Here is a 17835-nt window from a genome sequence, read left to right on the forward strand (position 1 = left end):
GCCAAGATTGCGCCATTGCACTCCAGCCTGGGCAACAGGAGCGAGACTCTGTCTCAAAAAAAAAAAAAAGAAAGAAAAAAAGAAAAACCAGCATGTCTACATGACAACAACAAAAAATCCAATGTGTATTTACCAAGGAGGAGATGGGGCCTTGCAAGGTCTAAGGCCCAGGACAGCGCCTCTGAACAAGCATTTGATGAGAATGACAAAGAGGAGTTGCTGCACAGCAGTCAGTCGGTAAGCAGTTAGCCACAGGCTGAATCAATGAGCATGGCATCTTATCATTATAGGTTACATATGTGCATGCGTGCAGGCGTGTATACACACACACACACACACACACACAGAGCCCTGAACCTAGCTTTTTTTTTTTTGCTCTCTTCCTCCATTCTTTCCATCCACAAGCGTCTGATAAGCACCAGGGTGAGCCAGACATTGGCACCATGCCCTGAGAACCCAAAGATAAACCTTTAAATGACTGCCTGAGTCACCAGGACCCAGAAGAGTCAGGCCAACAGCATTTGTTTGACTCTGGCACTGCCATGCCTCCTATGCCACATCTCAGGAGAATGCCAAACCCTGATCCACCCCAAACCTGCACCTTTTACAGAATCCCCCAGCTCAGTAAAAGGCAACTTCCCTCTCCCACTGCACAGACCAAAAACCCTGAAGCCATCCTTGCCTGCTCTCTTTCCCTCATCTAGCGGAGGTGACAGACATAGAGGAGACTCTGATACGGAGTGGAAAGTGCAACGTCAGCTGTTGTCAGAATCTGTCAGCGCAGAGCGGAAGGGCACCTGAGCCAGTCAGGGCTGGGAGAGAACTGGGGAAGAAATCAGGGGAGCATGCTGGATGGCATAAAGCCTGAGTGGAATACTTAAAGGGTGAGGAGGAGACAGCAAGAGAAAGGAAGAACATTCCAGAAGAGGGGCAAATAATTTGGTGCTGCCAGAGCCAAATATATCTAATAAGTGTAACGATGACTGATGGTAACAATGATAATGACTACTAAAATTTATTGAGCAACTGCCAAATATCGGGGATTGCCAAAATGTTTTATGAGTTAATCATTCAGTCCTCAACCAGCCTGTGAGGGTAGTAATATCATTAACTCCACTTTGCAGATGAGGGAACTGAGACCTGGAGGTAAAGTCACTTGCCCGAAGCCATCAGCTAGCAAGGAGCAGAGCCCAGGTTGAAACAAGGTGGGCTGGATCTTGGGACTGTGCCCTAGACCACCAGGCTCAATGCCTCCTGAGTAGAGGACTAAGAGTCAGGCACCCAGGACTCCGTACCAGCTCTGCAGCAGGACTGATGAGCTATTTCTAAAAGAACTGACCCTGCGGTTCAGGAAGACAAGCAGAGTCACAGGGGAAGCAGAAAAGTGCAGCCAACCACACCCACTCTCCCTAAAGTGAGTCAGAAATGGAAGGTTCAAGAAACTCACCTGTGTAAACCACAAGGAAAAGAGAAAACTGAAGAAAGAAGAAAACTCAAGGTCATCTGAGCCAGTAAATATCACACTACAGATTTCCGAGACAAGTCAGACCTGACCCCACATTTTGGGAACTAGCTTAAGAACAGGGCTGCCATCTTTATTTTACCAAATATGAACATGAAACAGATCTACCAGTTACCCCCATGAGTGGCTCTATCCAGCCACCATTTGCTGTGTGCCTTCCTCCTCGTGGGCTGTTGTTCCCTGCTCTCCCCTGGACTGCCTCATCCCTGAAGGCTGATTTCCCCAGAGTTCCACCCTCAGCCTCTTTTCAGGCCTCAGACGCTACCTCAGATCTGATCCACTCCTGGGGCTGCAACTACAACATACACCGCCCAATATCTCCCAAACCAGCCCAGCGCATTGGGGCCCTGGCCTTCCTCCCAAGCTTCTGACCTGAACAGCTGCCTCCTGGGCATGCTTCCAAACTAAAACCCTCTCTTGCTCTCTCAGTGAACAACACCCAGGCCACCGCAGGAACAGAGACTGAAGAGTCGTCACCTCTCACATATCCTCTCATCACACCGTCACCAGCTATCCCAAATTTCTCACACACATAGCCCTTGGAAAGCTCTAATCTAGATACTTCCAGACAGCTGCTTCCTAGAGGCATTTCCCAGTCACCCTGCATCTAGACAGGGTCACGAGACAGCTTCTGGTCAATGGGATGTGGGTGAAAGGAAATCCACCACTTCTAGACCTGGCCCACAAAAACCTCCCATGCATCCCTCTTTTCGATCAGCCCCCTCGAACTTGATAACCTAGGCTGGCCTCAAGAGCCATGTGCTGAGGGGCACAGAGCGGAGGTCAGTCAGCCTGCATCCCTGAATGACTGTATGGATCAAGGCCCCCACCCCATGCTCACTACTGGGCCTGACATGAGCAAGAAATATCTACTCTATTAAGACAAACATACACACACACACACAAAACAGGGAGCAAGCAAGAAAGGAGGGAGCAGGGGAGGAAGGAATTCTCCTTGATGACTAGCTTCCCAGTGGTTCCCCCACAACATCCTCCCTTAAATTGGCACCCACACCACTACCTTAGACTTCCTAAAACGCAAACCTGATGGTTGCTCTCTCCTGCCATTTTACCCGCCCCATCACCTCCAGGGTGAGGCCCAAATTCTTTAGCATAAACCTCAGCAATCCCTTCCACACATCCCACTGGCCACATGCTATGCACAGAACATGGACGCTAAGTGCTGGGGAGACAGCTGGAGCCTCTGCCCTCAGGGAGTTTCTATTCTACTGGCAGCTGGGTGCCATGAGGAAAATAAACAGTTCCCTGTGACCAAGAGTAAGGGGAGGAAAAATCCTCAAATGGGATGTGATCTTTAGGTTGAGGCCTGAAGGATTAACAAATAGGGCCAACCAAGAGCAAGAAGGGCATTCCAGGCAGAGCAAAGACTCCCAGAAATGCCCAGGCTCCCAGAAATGCCCGGGGGGGGGGGGGTGTTCCAGTCACAGAAGGGTCCTGGGTGGGCAGGGACCAGTGCCCCAGGACCTTGTGGGCGATGGCAGGGAGTCTGCATTTTCCAGTTTGTAAGCAGATTAATAGGGTTGAACTGGGTTTAAAGATCTCTACCAGCTGCTGGGCAGAGAAAACCTTCATTGTCTGGCCTCAAAGCTGGCAAGGGGCGACCCGCGGCGTCGTGGAGTTCCCCTAAGCCGCCGCCTCCCTCCCTCCCCACCCCACACGGCCACACCCGGGTGTTCCACCCGGCACTACCATGCTCTATGTAAATCACTCTCTCCCCCCAGGCGTCTAGAGGACCCCACTCGACCCTGAGTCCCTCGCACTGTGCCAGGTACTCCGCAGGTGCTCATTAAACGCTCGCTTTAGTGAATGACGGTGCGAGGTCAGGGCAGAGCCACCGAATTGTCTGCTCAAACTTCAAGTAGGACCCCCAAGCGGGCTGGAAGTGCGTGAGGGCGCGCAGGACCTCCGCCCGCCGTCGCTCCCGGCGCGGCGCCTTACCCGGCTCTCAGGAACTTGCAGGCGCCGTAGACCATGAACCTGCAGAGGTGGAGCTGCGCGCAGAGCCCCACGCAGCCCGGCTTGGAGCCCTGGTGCGCGCGACACAGGCGCAGCGGCGAGGCGGCCAGCACCACGCGCTCCGGGGCCGCGGCTGCGCCGCCCGCCCGCACCGCCACCACGAAGCGCCCACGCTGCCGCAGCAGCCGCTCCAGCGCGTCGGCGCTCAAGCCCATCCGCAAGCGGCGCCGCAGCTCGGGCAACTCCAGGGCGCCCCCGGCCGCGCACAGCACCTGGGTGACCTCACCGACGACGCCGGCCTGGGCCATGGCCGCTGGGCCTGCTCCCGTCGGACCGCGGGTGGCGCGACGCGGACGGCGGCGGACGCTGGCTGGCGGGCGGCTCTCGCAGGGTGGAGACGCCGGCGGGAAACGAAACCGAAAGCGGCCCCGGGCCGGCGAAAAACAGAACCTGTGCGCCCTCGCCACGCCCCCGGTCCGCAGCTGAGCGGCTGCGCCTTCCGCCTCAGGGCCCCCAGCTGTGAGGCCGCCGCCCGACGGAAGCTCGGGAGCTCTTGAGCTCGGGCGTTCGGCCCGGAGCGCGGGCTGTGGCTGTGGCGGCTCGCGGGGGTCAGTACCTAGTCCCTGAAAATGGCTTCCCTGGATGTTTGAGGGACCAGGAGCCCCTAATGCCGCGATGCTCAGCGCGCCTTCAGTCAGAGGGAGCCTCGAGGGCGGCGGCAGCGCTGGCGGAGCCGGCTGGACGCCGCCGGTTAAAGCCGCTCAGCGTCGCCCAGGCCAAGCCCGGGCTTCGTAGACGGCTCACAGAAACAGGGACAACTGACGGGAGCTCTCACCCCTCGAACAAGTGACAAAAGCGATCACTCCGCATAGAAGACGCACTTAATTAAAGGTTCCTTTCGCCTCGGTGCATCAATGAGTTCCTTCATTTAAACATAAAAGGGTATGTCCTTTAAAAGAGCAAATCCGTGAGCCGAGATTGCGCGACTGCACTCCAGCCTGGGCGACAGAGCGAGACTCCGTCTCAAAAAATAAAATAAAATAAAATAAAATCCGTTACTCCCAGCCCCTGCTAAGTAACGATTGAACAAATATTTTAGAAGACCCTTCAGAGCAAAGGACCCTCTCACACGCTGAGAGCAATGCGAGTTGTTAGAGCCCTTTGAGGAGGTAATCCAGGAATAGCTATTAAAATTGAAAACGCGTGTGACCTTTGACCCAGCAATCTTTCCTCTCGGAATCTTCCAGAAGTAAAAGGAACAGTAAATAAGTTATGTGTGAAAGTGTTACTGGGGGAACCCTACCTGGGAGGTAGGGTTACGTGGGAACAGTGTGGTTGATCTTTAAAGACTATTACGAAGGCTGTTTAACAAGCATGCGTTAGAGCTCCGTGTGCGGATGTAGAGGGGCAGACAGCCATGATGTGGTGGTAAACGAGAAAAGATGGCTGTACAGAAATGTCTAAATAATCAAGTTGAATGATCAAGAATTAATTTTTTTAAATGTCTGAATAACAAAAAGAGAAGCCTGTGTGTGTGTGTGTGGCAGGATATTTTTGAATAAGCACGGAGAAAGATGAAGAAACACACAAGGGTAGTTGAGAGGAGGCAGTAGGAGGTATTAGGAAAATGGAAAAGGGAAGATGAGAGGCAGAAGGATTGTGGGGGGAGAGTACTTACGGTATACGGTATAACATTCACTAAAAATGAATATAAAAATCTTAACTATAGGCCAGGCACAGTGGCTCACGCCTGTAATCCCAGCACTTTGGGAGGTCAAGGCGGGCGGATCACTTGAGGTCAGTAGTTTGAGACCAGCCTGGCCAACGTGGTGAAACCCCGTCTCTGCTAAAAACGTAAAAATTAGCCGGGCGTGGTAACGGGCGCCAGTAATCCCAGCTACTCGGGAGACAGGCAGGAGAATCGCTTGAATCCGGGAGGCAGAGATTGCAGTGAGCGGAGATCATGACACTGCACTCCAGCCTGGGCGACAGAGTGAGACTCCATCTTTAAAAAAAAAAAAAAAATTACCTGTACTATTACTACAAAAATGTAAATAATAAGTGTATGGATAAAGACTAGATAGTAACATGGACAAATGAAAATGAATTTATTTAATTAGGAAATTGAATGAAGGGTTTTCTCTTGGATTTTAATTGTGATTTTAATGTTTTCATTGTATAAAATGTTAATTTTGTTTTTGTTATTGTTTTAGAGACAAGGTCTTGGTCTGTCACCCAGGCTGTAGTATAATGGTACAGTCATAGCTCACTACAACCTGGAACTTCTGGGCTCAAGCGAACCTTCCACCTTAGCCTCCCAAGTAGCTGGGCCTAGAGGCACGTGCCACCATGCCCAGATAATTTTTATATTTTTTTGTAGAGACACTGTCTCATTTGTTGCCCAGGCTGATCTTGAACTCCTGGCCTCAAGCAGTCCTCCCACCTCAGATTCCTAAAGTGCTGGGATTACAGTGAGCCACCACGCCTAGCCTAAAATGTTAATTTTTAATTTAAAATGTTAGGCAGAGTGCAGTGGCTCACGCATGTAATCCCAGCATTTTGGGAGGCCGAGGTGGGTGGATCACTTGAGGTCAGGAGTTCAAGACCAGCCTGGCCAACTTGGTGAAACCCCATCTCTCCTAAAAATACAAAAATTAGCCAGGTGTGATGGTGTGTGCCTGTAATCCCAGCTACCTGGGAGGCTGAGGCAGGAAAATCGTTTGAACCAGGGAGGCGGAGGTTGCAGTGAGTCAAGATCGCACCGTTGCACTCCAGCCTGGGCAACAGAGCAAGACTCCGTCTCAAAAAAAAAGTTAATTTTAGTTGTGGTTTCCATATTTTTTTGCAATAAAATAACATTTTTTAAAAAAGAAAGGAAGAGTGATGTCAGTGAAAATGGTGGATTAAGTATCCCAGCAAGTTTGCCCTTCCATAAAGGAAGCAAGGAAAGAACTGACAAAAATTGTCAGAATCAACTTTCTTAGAGCCCTAGAAATTAGTCACAGGTTTGCAGCAACCCATCTGGCATTTAGTCAGGAAAAACAGCAAACTCTCAGTAAGAACAGCAATATTTATAGTATTTTAATTTACCCTAGTCCTATCGCACCCCCATCTCTAGTTCCATGGCAGCCTTGAAAACTTACAGCCCACGTTCCTAGTACCTGTACCAGAGGGAGGAGACAGGGCTGGAGCTACTTCAAAGTCTCATTCCCAAAGAAGAGTCATTATTTAACCTATCTAGTGGGTCCCTGGAAAAAAATCCTGAAAAGGGTTGTCTTTATTCAACCTCTTTGGAACTAGCTCAGTCCTAAAGGTTTTTCCACCTGAAGAGGGAGTGATTTGTCAAATATTTTAACATTGTAACTGGCTGAGGCAATAGGTAACGGTAGGGGCAAACAATAGACTAACAAAGAAATGTAAAAGGAAACGTTGAAGGAAGAGATGTCCATAGGGGCTTTGAAAAGCTCCAGTATATTTTCAGGAATTTAGAAGGCCATGTGCATGTGTAGGGCTGTGCACATGCTCTGTTAACACCTGAGAAGATCCTAACCTCTCACTACTAGCTGACACTGAGGCTCTGTGCTAGCAGGAAATAAAAGCTATGCAGAGTTGCAAACTGCCTAATGAAAATTGAAGACATACCCCAAAGTGCATACAGAGCCCCTTGGCAAAGACTAGGAGACATATTGGTTCCAGGTGTTTAAGGAAATCTCCATCTAATCATTAGTTGACCAAGTAGAGACTTCAATAGTCACACACAATGAAGATACACACTTTAAAAAATTAGTTCAAAAAAGTTACTAAACAGCAACTATTAGGTTGGTGCAAACCGCAATTATTTTTGCACCAACCTAATACTAAAATAAGCACAATCAAACCCTGAGGAGAGAGGAGTATCTGACTTTGAGAGTTGGCACATTGTTTGAAATGTCCAATTTTCAACTAAAAATTATGTGACTTGCAAAGAAACAAGAAAGTAAGACCCATACAAAGGAAATAAGAGCAATCAATAAAAACTGTTCCTAAGAAAACCCAGATGCTGAACTTTGTAGACAAAGAGTGTAAATCAGCTATTTTTGATATGTTCACAGAGCTAAAGGAAACCATCTCTAAAAATGTAAAAGAAAGGATGAGAATGATGCCTTGCCAAACAGAATATTAATAAAGACACAGAAATTATAATAAGGAACCAATAAAGGTTCTGGAGCCAAAAAGTACAATAACTGAAATGTTAAATTCACTAGAAGGGTTCAGCAGCAGATTTGAGCATGCGAAAGAAAAAAAAAATCAGCAAACTTGAAGATAGATCAATTGATGATTATCTGGTCTGTGGAACAGAAACGAAAAAGAAAAATGAAAAGAGCCTCAGAGACCTGTGGGACACCATCAGATATACCAATAACACAAAATGGAAGTCTTAGAAGGAGAAGAGAGAGAGAGAAAGGAAAGCGAGAATATATGAAGAAATTTTGGCTAAAATTTCTCAGATTTGATGAAAAACATTAATCTACACATCCAAGAAGCTTAATGAATTCCAAGTAGGAAAAACTCAAATAGATCTACACCTAGACACATCATAATCAAACTTTTGAAAACAAAGAGAATCTTGAAAGCAGCAAGAAAGTAGCAACTCATCATGCACAAGGAATCAACAATAAAATAAAAACAGTTAACTTCTCATCAAAAACCATGCATGCAGAGGGTAGTGTGATGATGTATTCAAAATGTGAAAAGAATCAACCAAGAATTTTATATCCAGCAAAACTATCTTTCAGAAATGAAGGAGAAATTAAGATATTCCCAGATAAACTAAAGCTGAGCCCGTTAGTTGCTAGCACTGGGAGAAACACTAAAGAGAGTCGTTTGGGCTGAAAGTGAAAGACACTAAACAGCAACTGGAATTCTCATGAAGAAAGAAAAGCACCAGTAAAGGTAACTACACAGGTAAATGAAAAAGACAGTATAAACGTATTTTTTGTTTGTAACCCCCATCATCTGATTTAAGACAACTACATAATGCAGTAATTACAAATATAAGTTGATGGACAATGTTTTGAAGATGTAATTTGTGACAATAACAGCAGAAGGAAATGGGGAAGGAAAGTGAAGCCATAGAGAAGCAGTTTTTATATTCTGTGGAAATTAAATTGGTATTAATCCAAACTGGATTTTTATAAATTAAGATGTTGCTGGTAATTCCTAGTGCAACCAATAACCAATAAAATACATGAGGCCGGACACAGTGGCTCACGCCTGTAATCCCTGCATTTTGGGAGGCCGAGGCGGGTGGATCACCTGAGGTCAGGAGTTCGAGACCAGCCTGGCCAACATGGTGAAACCCCATCTCTACTAAAAATACAAAAAATTAGCCAGGTGTGGTGGCAGGCACCTGTAATCCCAGCTACTCAGGAGGCTGAGGCAGGAGAATCGCTTGAACCCAGGAGGTGGAGGTTATAGTGAGCCAAGATCGTATCACTGCACTCCAGCCTGGGCAACAGAGTGAGACTCCATCTCAATAAAAAAAAAGAAAGAAAGAAAAAAAAAGAAATGATAAGATAATTTAAGTGGCACACTGGCAAATATCTATTTAATACAAAAGAAGGCAGTACTAGAGGAGTTGAAAAACAAAAAAAAAGACAAAAGACGTAGAAAAAATAGAAAAATGGCAGACAAATCCTACCTTATTAGTAATTACATTAAATGTAAATGGATTAAGCTTTCCAATTAAAAAATAGAGATGGGCATAATGGACCAAAACAAACAACAAAAATAGAAAACATGACCTAACTGTATGCTGCATTCAAAAGATACATTTTGGATTCAAAGACAAACAGATTGAAAGTAAAAGGATGGAAAAAATATACCATACAAATGGTAACCAAAAGAGGGCCGGAGTGGTTATACTAATGTCAGACAAAATAGACATAAGATAAAAATTCTTACTAGAGATAAAGAAGGACATTTTATAATGATCAAAGAATCTACCAAAAATATATAATAAATATAAATTAAATGCACTTAACAACAGAGTCCCAAAACACATGAAGCAAAAACTGACAGAACTGAAGGAAGAAATAGACAATTCAACAATAATAGTTGGAGGCTTTAATATCTACTTTCAATAATGAATAAAAAACCAGACAAAATATCAGCAAGGATATAGAAGGGCAATACTATAATCCAAGTAGACCTGAAAGACATCTATAGAACTCTTCACCCAACAAGAGCAGAACACATATTCTTCTCAAGTGTACATGGAAAATACTCCAGGATATACCAGATGCTAGGCTATAAAACAAGTCTCAAGAATCGTAAAATAAATTATATGAAGTATGTTCTCTTGCCATAATGGAATAAAAGTAGAAGTCAATAACAGAAATTTGAAAAATTCACAAATATGTAAAATTAGAAAATATACTTCTAAATAATAAGTCAAATAAGAAATCACAAGAGAAATTAGAAAATATTTTTGAGATAGATGAAAATGAAAACAAATTTATGAGATGTAGTGAAAGCATTGTTTCAAGGAAAATATGTCTCTGTGAATGCCTACATGAAAAAGGATCTCAAATCAATATCCTAACATTCCATCTTAGAAACTAGAAAAATAAGAGCAAACTAAGCCCAAAAGGAAGGAAATAATAAAGATTAGAGTAGAAACACAATAGAGAATTTAAAAAGAATACAAAGAATAAAACCAAAAGTTGGTTCTTTGATAAGATAGAAAATTTATAATTCTTTGCCTACAGTGACCAAAAAAAGAAAAAAGAAGAAGACTAAAATTACTAACATCAGGAATAAAAGAGGAGTCATTACTACTGACTTTACAGAAATAGAAAGGATTATCAAGTGTAATAATCACATTTTCTAGTTTCTATATTTGATGCTTTGACATCTTGGGGCCTTCTCGACACTAGAAGGACTACGTGTCCCAGGGCTAGCTAATTCCTAGATACAGCTAACAAGTCACCTCTGAGCTTTCCTTTCATAGGCAAACCAACCAACCCAGAGTCCATACTTCCAATCACCTCCTTCATCAGGGTTCTCCTGGGGCTGTCATACTGTAGGCCAGTATTCTCTTTTCCTAATTGCCCCAGGTCCATGTACCAGACAACTGGGGACAGCCCCTATAACCCCAGAGTCTACTGAACTAATTAAAACTAGCCTATGCTAAGCTTGCTTACCCTGCCTCAACCCAGGAACCACAACAAAGGCTCTTGGCTATGTTTTCTCCTCACTGTCTCTGTCTCCTGACATGTACTGGTGCCTCTCCGTGTGGCCCTCTGTGGCATGCTCTGCTTTCCTGTTTCTAGAGATCTGTGAGTATAAAAACTTATTTCATCATAGTCATTTCTGTGTCTGTGTGTCTTGGTATACCTGATTAAAACAAATCCTAGGGTTGGGTGCGGTGGCTCACGCCTGTAATCCCAACACTTTGGGAGTCCGAGGCAGATGGATCACTTGAGGCCAGGAGGTCGAGACCAGCTTGGCCAACATGGCGAAACCCCATCTTTACTAAAAAATTAGCTGGGCAGGGTGGCATGTGCCTGTAATCCCAGCTGCTCAGGAGACTGACACATGGGAATCATTTGAACCCGGGAGGCAGAGGTTGCAGTGAGTTGAGATGGTGCCACTGCACTCCAGCCTGGGTGACAGAGCTAGACTGTCTCAAAACAACAACAAAAAAAATGCTGGGTACCCTTTTAAAACATAGGTTATAAAGGATTTTAAGGCAGAAAGATAGTTAGAAGATACCTATAAAAACATACAAGTGGAAAAATACCCAGAAGACATTGGATCTGTGAGTCTGACATTTATAGAAGACGTCAGTACTAGAGTTACGAACATACAGATGGTATTTAAACCTACGGGACTGGATGAGACCACCCTAGAAGAGAGTGTAAATGAGAACTCCAAGGACCTGCCCCTCTGAAAGAGAAGGAGGAGACTGATAGAGCTAAGGTTTAAAGGAGAAGGCAGTGGGGTAGGAGGAAAACCAGAAGAATATGGAGTCATAAACTTAAGTTTTTCAATAGGAAGGGATGATCAGCTACATTGAGTGCACTATCAAGAGATCAAATAAAGATAGAGAAATGTTTTGTCTGTGCCACATAATAACCACCCTAAAACTTAGTGACTAAAAATAATAATGATTTATTTTTCATGATTCTGTGTGTTAACTGGGCTCAGCTGGGCAGTTCTTCTGCCTCATATGGTATAGCAAAAGTCACTCCAGTGGCTACATTCAGCTGGCAACTCAGCTGCAGTTAGAACCTTCAAGATGGTCTCTCATCCTGCAATCTCTCTGTGTGTGGCTCTCATTATTTAGTATTCTATCCTGAGCTGCTTTATAGGGTGTTAGGTAGCTCCCAAGAGAACAAGCCCCACTATGCAAGCATTTATCAAGATTCTCCCATTTTTCATGCCAGCTCTTAGAGTCATCCTTTTCCTACAAGAAATGGCTCATATTGGCGGTTGAGTAGATTTCTCAGCCTGCTTCCTGCCCATAGAAAATTGGGAGCAAATTTTTCTTTATTTTGGAACTGTCTGTATCCCTTCTTTTCCAAGTTGGTACAACTTGGAATGCCATTAAGATTCCTAGAAAGGAAAGTCCTTCAGCTGAAAAGTCTATAAAATACCACCTTAAATCTTTCTGATGTCTTCAAGGGTGTGATAGCTGCACCCTTCATTTGATCTTGAATGTCAGGCCACATTTTACTGGCAGGCCCTGAACTTGATCTTTTCCAAGGTCACTTCTTACTTTTTTTGCCAGCCAGAGGGGTAGGAATAAAAATAGTTTTATTTTCTAACCTAGCAAGTGCTGGAAATATTTTTTCTAAATTCTGCTTAAAAACCAAACAGTTATTTCCGTAACATCTCTTTCTTGCAATTGTTTTATTCTGCTTTAAGCCCAATTTCTAGGCAATTGTCTTATTCTGCTTTAAGCCTAAAAATCTTTTTAGCCAGATCCACAAGTTTCTCTGCAACATTTTCCATCTTCCAGGTTAACAAAGGTGACAGTCTCTGTAACAAAGGCCCCCTTTCTCAGCTTGCAATAAAAGGTTCGTGACTGCTATTCCACCCTCCACCGGCAGTTCCCTGGCCACCCTTCAGGTTTCTGCCTACAGCCCAGTCCTAAAACCAGTGTCACATATTGTAGGTTTTTGTTACATCAGCTCGCCTCTTCCAGTTGCCAACTTCTGCTTCAGTTAGTAGTAAGTTTTTCTGCAAAGGGAAGCAGGGTAAGGTGGTGGGAATAACTGATGAGAGGGGTATGTGAAGTCAAGGATTTGTTTATCTTTATTTATTGATTTATTGATTTATTTATTTTGAGATGGAGTCTCACTCTGTCACTCAGACTAGAGTGCAGTTTTGCGATCTCGGCTCATTGCAACCTCCACCTCCCAGGTTCAAGCGATTTTCCTGCCTCAGCCTCCCGAGTAGCTGGGATTACAGGTGCCCACGACCACACCCCACTAATTTTTGCATTTTTAGTAGAGATGGAGTTTTGCCATGTTGGCCAGGCTGGTTTCGAACTCCTGACCTCAGGTGATCCATCTGCCTCGACCTCCCAAAGTGCTGAGATTACAAGTGTGAGCCACTGCACCCAGCCTATCTTTTATCTTAAGATGAGAGATGCTAATGCATAGTTTCATTCTGCTGGAAATGATCTAGTGGGGACATTGTTGATGTTAGGTGAGGGGGTAACTGCAGCAACAAAGAGGGAACATACTGCCCATAAACTGGGGGATTCATGTTGGTAGAGACAAGGACCTGCCCTCCTGTTGGTAGGGACCTGTGTTTTTCATAACGCAGGTAAGACAGAAAGGAAGGGTGTAGCATTTGTGAGTAGGTTTGTATCTAGCCTTGCGGTAAGATGAGGGAAGGCCTTTACATTTGGTTAAATAGTGTTCCCCCCAAAATTCCTCCACCCAAAATTCATGTCCATCCAGAACCTATGAATGTGACCTTATTTGTAAGCAGAGTCTTTGCAGGTATAATCAAGTTAAGGTGAGGTCATCCTGTATTAGGGTGAACCCTAATCCAATGATAGGTGCCTTAGAAGAAGAAAGAAATTTGGGCACAGAGATAGGCACACAGGACGAAGGACAGGTGACAACAGAGGCAGAGATTGGAACGATGCATATAAATCAAGGAACATGACTGATCAATGGCAGTCACCAGAAGCTGGCATAGGTGAGGAAGGATTCTCCCCTGGAGACTTCAGAGGAAGACTGGCCCTACTGACACCTTGATTTTGGACTTCTAGCCCCCAGAACTTCCTTAGTATATATATATATAGTGTATTAATATATTTTATATATATATACTTAGTATATATATACACATATGTTAATACTTAATAAAAGTATATATAAAAGTTAATACTTTTATACATATATGTATATATACATATATAAATACTTAATAAAAGTATAATATATGAATGTTAATACTTTATATTATATATATAAAAGTCACAAGGTCCCACAGTAGGCTGTCTGCAAGCTTGAGGAGCAAGGAGAGCCAGTTTGAGTCCCAAAACTGAAGAACCTGGAGTCCGATGCTTGAGGGCAGGAAGCATCCAGCACGGGAGAAAGATGTAGGCTGAGAGGCTAGGCCAGTCTCGCCTTTTCACGTTTTTCTGCCTGCTTTATGTTCACTGGCAGCTGATTAGATGGTGCCCACCAGATTAAGGGTGGGTCTGCCTTTCCCATGCCACTGACTCAAATGTTAATCTCCTTTGGCAACACCCTCACAGACACAACCAGGATTAATACTTTGCATCCTTCAATCCAGTCAAGTTGACACTCAGTATTAACCATCATAGCAGCCTTAGGTAACTAATTCAGCTTTCTGTTTTCTCGGTGAGATGTGAAGGAAGATCACCAGCCGAAGGTGGGGCTACAGTAAGGGGTAGGAAAGGGGAAGAAGATATGATCCAGTTGTCTCCTATGAAAAGACCAATTCTGCCAGCAAAACGTAGGATTACCAGACAATGGTAAGTCCCATTTAAGTTTGAAGATCATACATTAAAGTTAAAGCAGTCAGCCAATTATGTGATTCGTGGTTTTTCCCAACAGAGGTCAATTGCCTCTGAGTTGCAAAGAAATTAGGTTCAACATGGATTGGGGTTCTGGCTTTTGCATTCAGTGGAGGGAGACCAAGGCATGTTTTGAGGGCCTTTGCAAAGGGGCAATTGTTTTAGTAGATTATGGAACCAATCTGGGCATGGAAAGGAAAGAGAAGGCAAAGAAAGTATAAGAGACAGTGTGAAAGGTCAGGGATTGGAAATCTGAAATAAATCAAAATGTAGTTGCAGTGGTACAGAAAAGCTAAGGAAGACACAATACATAATAAATTAATACAAAACAAATACATTGTTTATTAAGAAAATTATACTAATAACAATGAGGACATATAAAGTAAAAGAGTTTGGAGGATAGAAGATGGTGAGCAGAGAGGTTATTTGAAATGTGGTAAGGGTTTGCTTATGAGGAAATTAAATCATATTTAAGGAGTGAATCTGTTGTTTCAAAAATGTCCCTGTGCTGTTTATGGAAAGACAGCAGTCACTTTGGGGCACACCTTATTTGTTCTGGGGGGAATCACTGTGGAACCTCTCTTTACTATGTATTATGTGCCTTGTGTATTAGTACATATGCTGCTTTTCCAATCTCAGAGACAAGTGGATCATATCTTCTCCTGAGCGCTGAATTCGTCTCCTAGGGCTGCCATAACAAATGTGGGAGTCTATTGTCTGAACGATCACAAAACAAGACCTTGTCATTTTGTAGCTTGACCACGACTGCCCTCCTAGTATCTCACATTGTACAGGGCTGGTCTCTGAGGAAGAGGGGGGATCAGTTTTAACAGGGGATAAGGAGCAAAGAGAGAAGCATGCTTCCTTTCTGTTTCAGGTCCAGTTTCTAAAGCTGACTTTGAGATGTTGATTCTTGTGCAAGTTCTTTATTAAGGAAGTGCTCCCAGGAGAAGCTGGTGTAAGAGTGGGAGAAGCCAGGGAGGGAACAGGGAGAAGACAAGCAACGTCCCTGCCTCAACCTGAACACAAAGGGGACCTCTGGAATGTATAGTGGACTCCTGTTCTTTGGCAGCCGTTGTGTTCTGTAAAGTTGCTGTGGACACTTAGTGAAACTGATCCATCGCTCCTAGGGGAAATACAGGGCTAGGTTCCTATGAGTGTCTGATCACATACTTGTCAACTGATCAATACACAACCTTGTTTTATGTGTTTTTCTATTTAAAGACACTTTATTTAATAGATAGTGTTAATTCATTAGCATTGACCTCACGGATGATGGCACTATAACTCATGCCTGAAGAAAGCTTACCAAACACGTGTGTTTTCTCTGTGAGGCACATCACAGCCTTCTCAAACTCAGGAACACCACACAGTACTTCAGCACTACTCTTGGGAGCCACTGTAAACAGCAAAATCATCCACAAAAATCACAACAATGCAAAAAATGCAGCACTAAATAGATCTCAAAAAGGACACTCGTTATGAGAACTGAAACAAGAAGACAAGAAGGTTGCCTTGCTCAACCTCAGCTGTCGTTGTGCGCTCAATTTTTTTCACTGCTCTGAATATGTCCAAAAACGACAGTGAAAACACCATACGTATTGATTTGGGGGTTACAGATAAATTTTAGTGCTTAGGTAAATTTGCATATACAGAATCTGCAAATAATGGGGATCGACTGTAAATCTCACCGAGTTTGTCCCTCCTCTAGGCTGTCATATCACTGCACTGGTCATCCATCCAGCATTGGCAAAGGCTGGCAGGGGAGTGTGCATGGGGGCAGAAGTAAAGTCCTAGGTCCTTCTGGCTCTCTGCACCTGCATTTGCACCTGGACAAAGTGGATCCAGTAGCCCAAGGGCAGGCCGCTGAGGAGGTTTTTTGTTTTTTTTTGAGACAGAGTCTCGCTTTGTCGCCCAGGCTGGAGTGCAGTGGCGCGATCTCGGCTCACCGCAAGCTCCGCCTCCCGGGTTCACGCCATTCTCCTGCCTCAGCCTCCCGAGTAGCTGCGACTACAGGCTGGGGCCACTACGCCCGGCTAATTTTTTGTATTTTTAGTAGAGACGAGGTTTCACCATGTTAGCCAGGATGGTCTCAATCTCCTGACCTTGTGATCCACCCACCTCGGCCTCCCAAAGTGCTGGCATTACAGGCATGAGCCACCGCACCCGGCCTGAAGAGTTTTGATGTAGGCCTTAGAAGCAAAGCTTGCAGACGGGCATACCCGCAGGGCAAAAGGAAGCCAAAGGCATCTAGGCAGAGCAGATGATGTCCAGTGTGCTCTGTGGGTCGAGTCACAGGAACATCACTCATGGGGGGAGATAATCCCCACAGAGGGAAGGGTAAGTCTGCACTGCTGCCCGAGGCTTGATGCCAGGACTGGGACAGTGTGTGACCCCTGGGACCAGACTTCAGAGCTGTTGCAATCATGACTCTAGCACATTACTTGTTTCCTTGGCTGTAACCTCCACTCTGACAGAAGGGACCCTGGCTTTTTCCCATGGACCCCCACCCCCGGCCTACCTAGTTCAGTACCTGATATTCAGTAAATATTTGAGGAAAGAAAAAATAACAAACATCACCCATCATCCCACCACCCAGGTGGAGCCCATATTAATCCCTGAGGACTTGCACTGGACTTGAGTGGGGCTAGAAGCCCTGCTTGCAGATTGCATCTAGCCTAAGGTAAAGCAATTATTTGGAGGTTGTAGGCAGGCTGATGGCTCTGTAAGGAACCCCATCTCTCACGCACTGGCCATCACTCCCGTGGTCGGGGGATCTCCACAGATGTGGTAGAAAGAAAGACGGCTTCTGTTTTTATTATGGCTTTATCAACTGTCCTGAGAGTTGTCAGTCTCGGGAATATATATGCATGTACTTGAGCCAGTCGCGAGTCACGTTAGAGATGGAATTGTGTTCCCTGCTCCCAAAATTCCTATGTTGAAGTCCTAATCCCTAGTACCTCGGAATGTAACTTTATTGAAGGTGGGGTCTGTAAAGATATAATTAAATTGAAAAGAAGTAATTAGAGTGGGCCCTAATTCAATGACAGGTGTCCTTGTAAGAAGAGGAAATTTAGGCCAGGCTCAGTGGCTCATGCCTGTAATCCCAGCACTTTGGGAGGCAGAGACAGGTGGATCACTTGAGGTCAGGAGTTCGAGACCAGCCTGGCCGACAGAGCAAAACCCTATCTCTACTAAAAATACAAAAATTAGTCAGGCATGATGGCACACGCCTGTAATCCCAGCTACTTGGGAGGTTGAGGGAGAAGAATTGCTTGAACCGGGAGGTGGA

General features: G+C 44.9%; 1 protein-coding gene across 9 annotated transcripts in view, besides 2 other annotated features; it reads right to left on the reverse strand.

Annotated features, from left to right (window-relative positions):
* PARP12 (poly(ADP-ribose) polymerase family member 12) overlaps positions 1 to 3911 on the reverse strand; it is a 39203-nt gene extending 35292 nt beyond the window's left edge. For all 9 annotated transcript variants that reach the window (NR_130117.2, XR_927514.3, NM_022750.4 and 6 more), the window contains exon 1: positions 3482 to 3911. Coding sequence is in view for 7 of the 9 variants with exons in the window: in NM_022750.4 (NP_073587.1) it covers positions 3482 to 3807 (326 nt within the window). In the remaining 2 variants the exon portion in view is untranslated. The remainder of the gene's footprint in view (positions 1 to 3481) is intronic.
* Positions 3519 to 3838: a silencer, noted in NCBI's record as "silent region_18702". NCBI's record gives its function as "represses an Ori minimal core promoter by ATAC-STARR-seq in GM12878 lymphoblastoid cells {active_cell/tissue: GM12878}" and the evidence as "EXISTENCE:reporter gene assay evidence [ECO:0000049][PMID:35858748]".
* Positions 3849 to 4058: an enhancer, noted in NCBI's record as "active region_26773". NCBI's record gives its function as "activates an Ori minimal core promoter by ATAC-STARR-seq in GM12878 lymphoblastoid cells {active_cell/tissue: GM12878}" and the evidence as "EXISTENCE:reporter gene assay evidence [ECO:0000049][PMID:35858748]".

Source organism: Homo sapiens, chromosome 7 (genome assembly GCF_000001405.40).
Source record: "Homo sapiens chromosome 7, GRCh38.p14 Primary Assembly".
Taxonomy (NCBI): domain Eukaryota; kingdom Metazoa; phylum Chordata; class Mammalia; order Primates; family Hominidae; genus Homo; species Homo sapiens.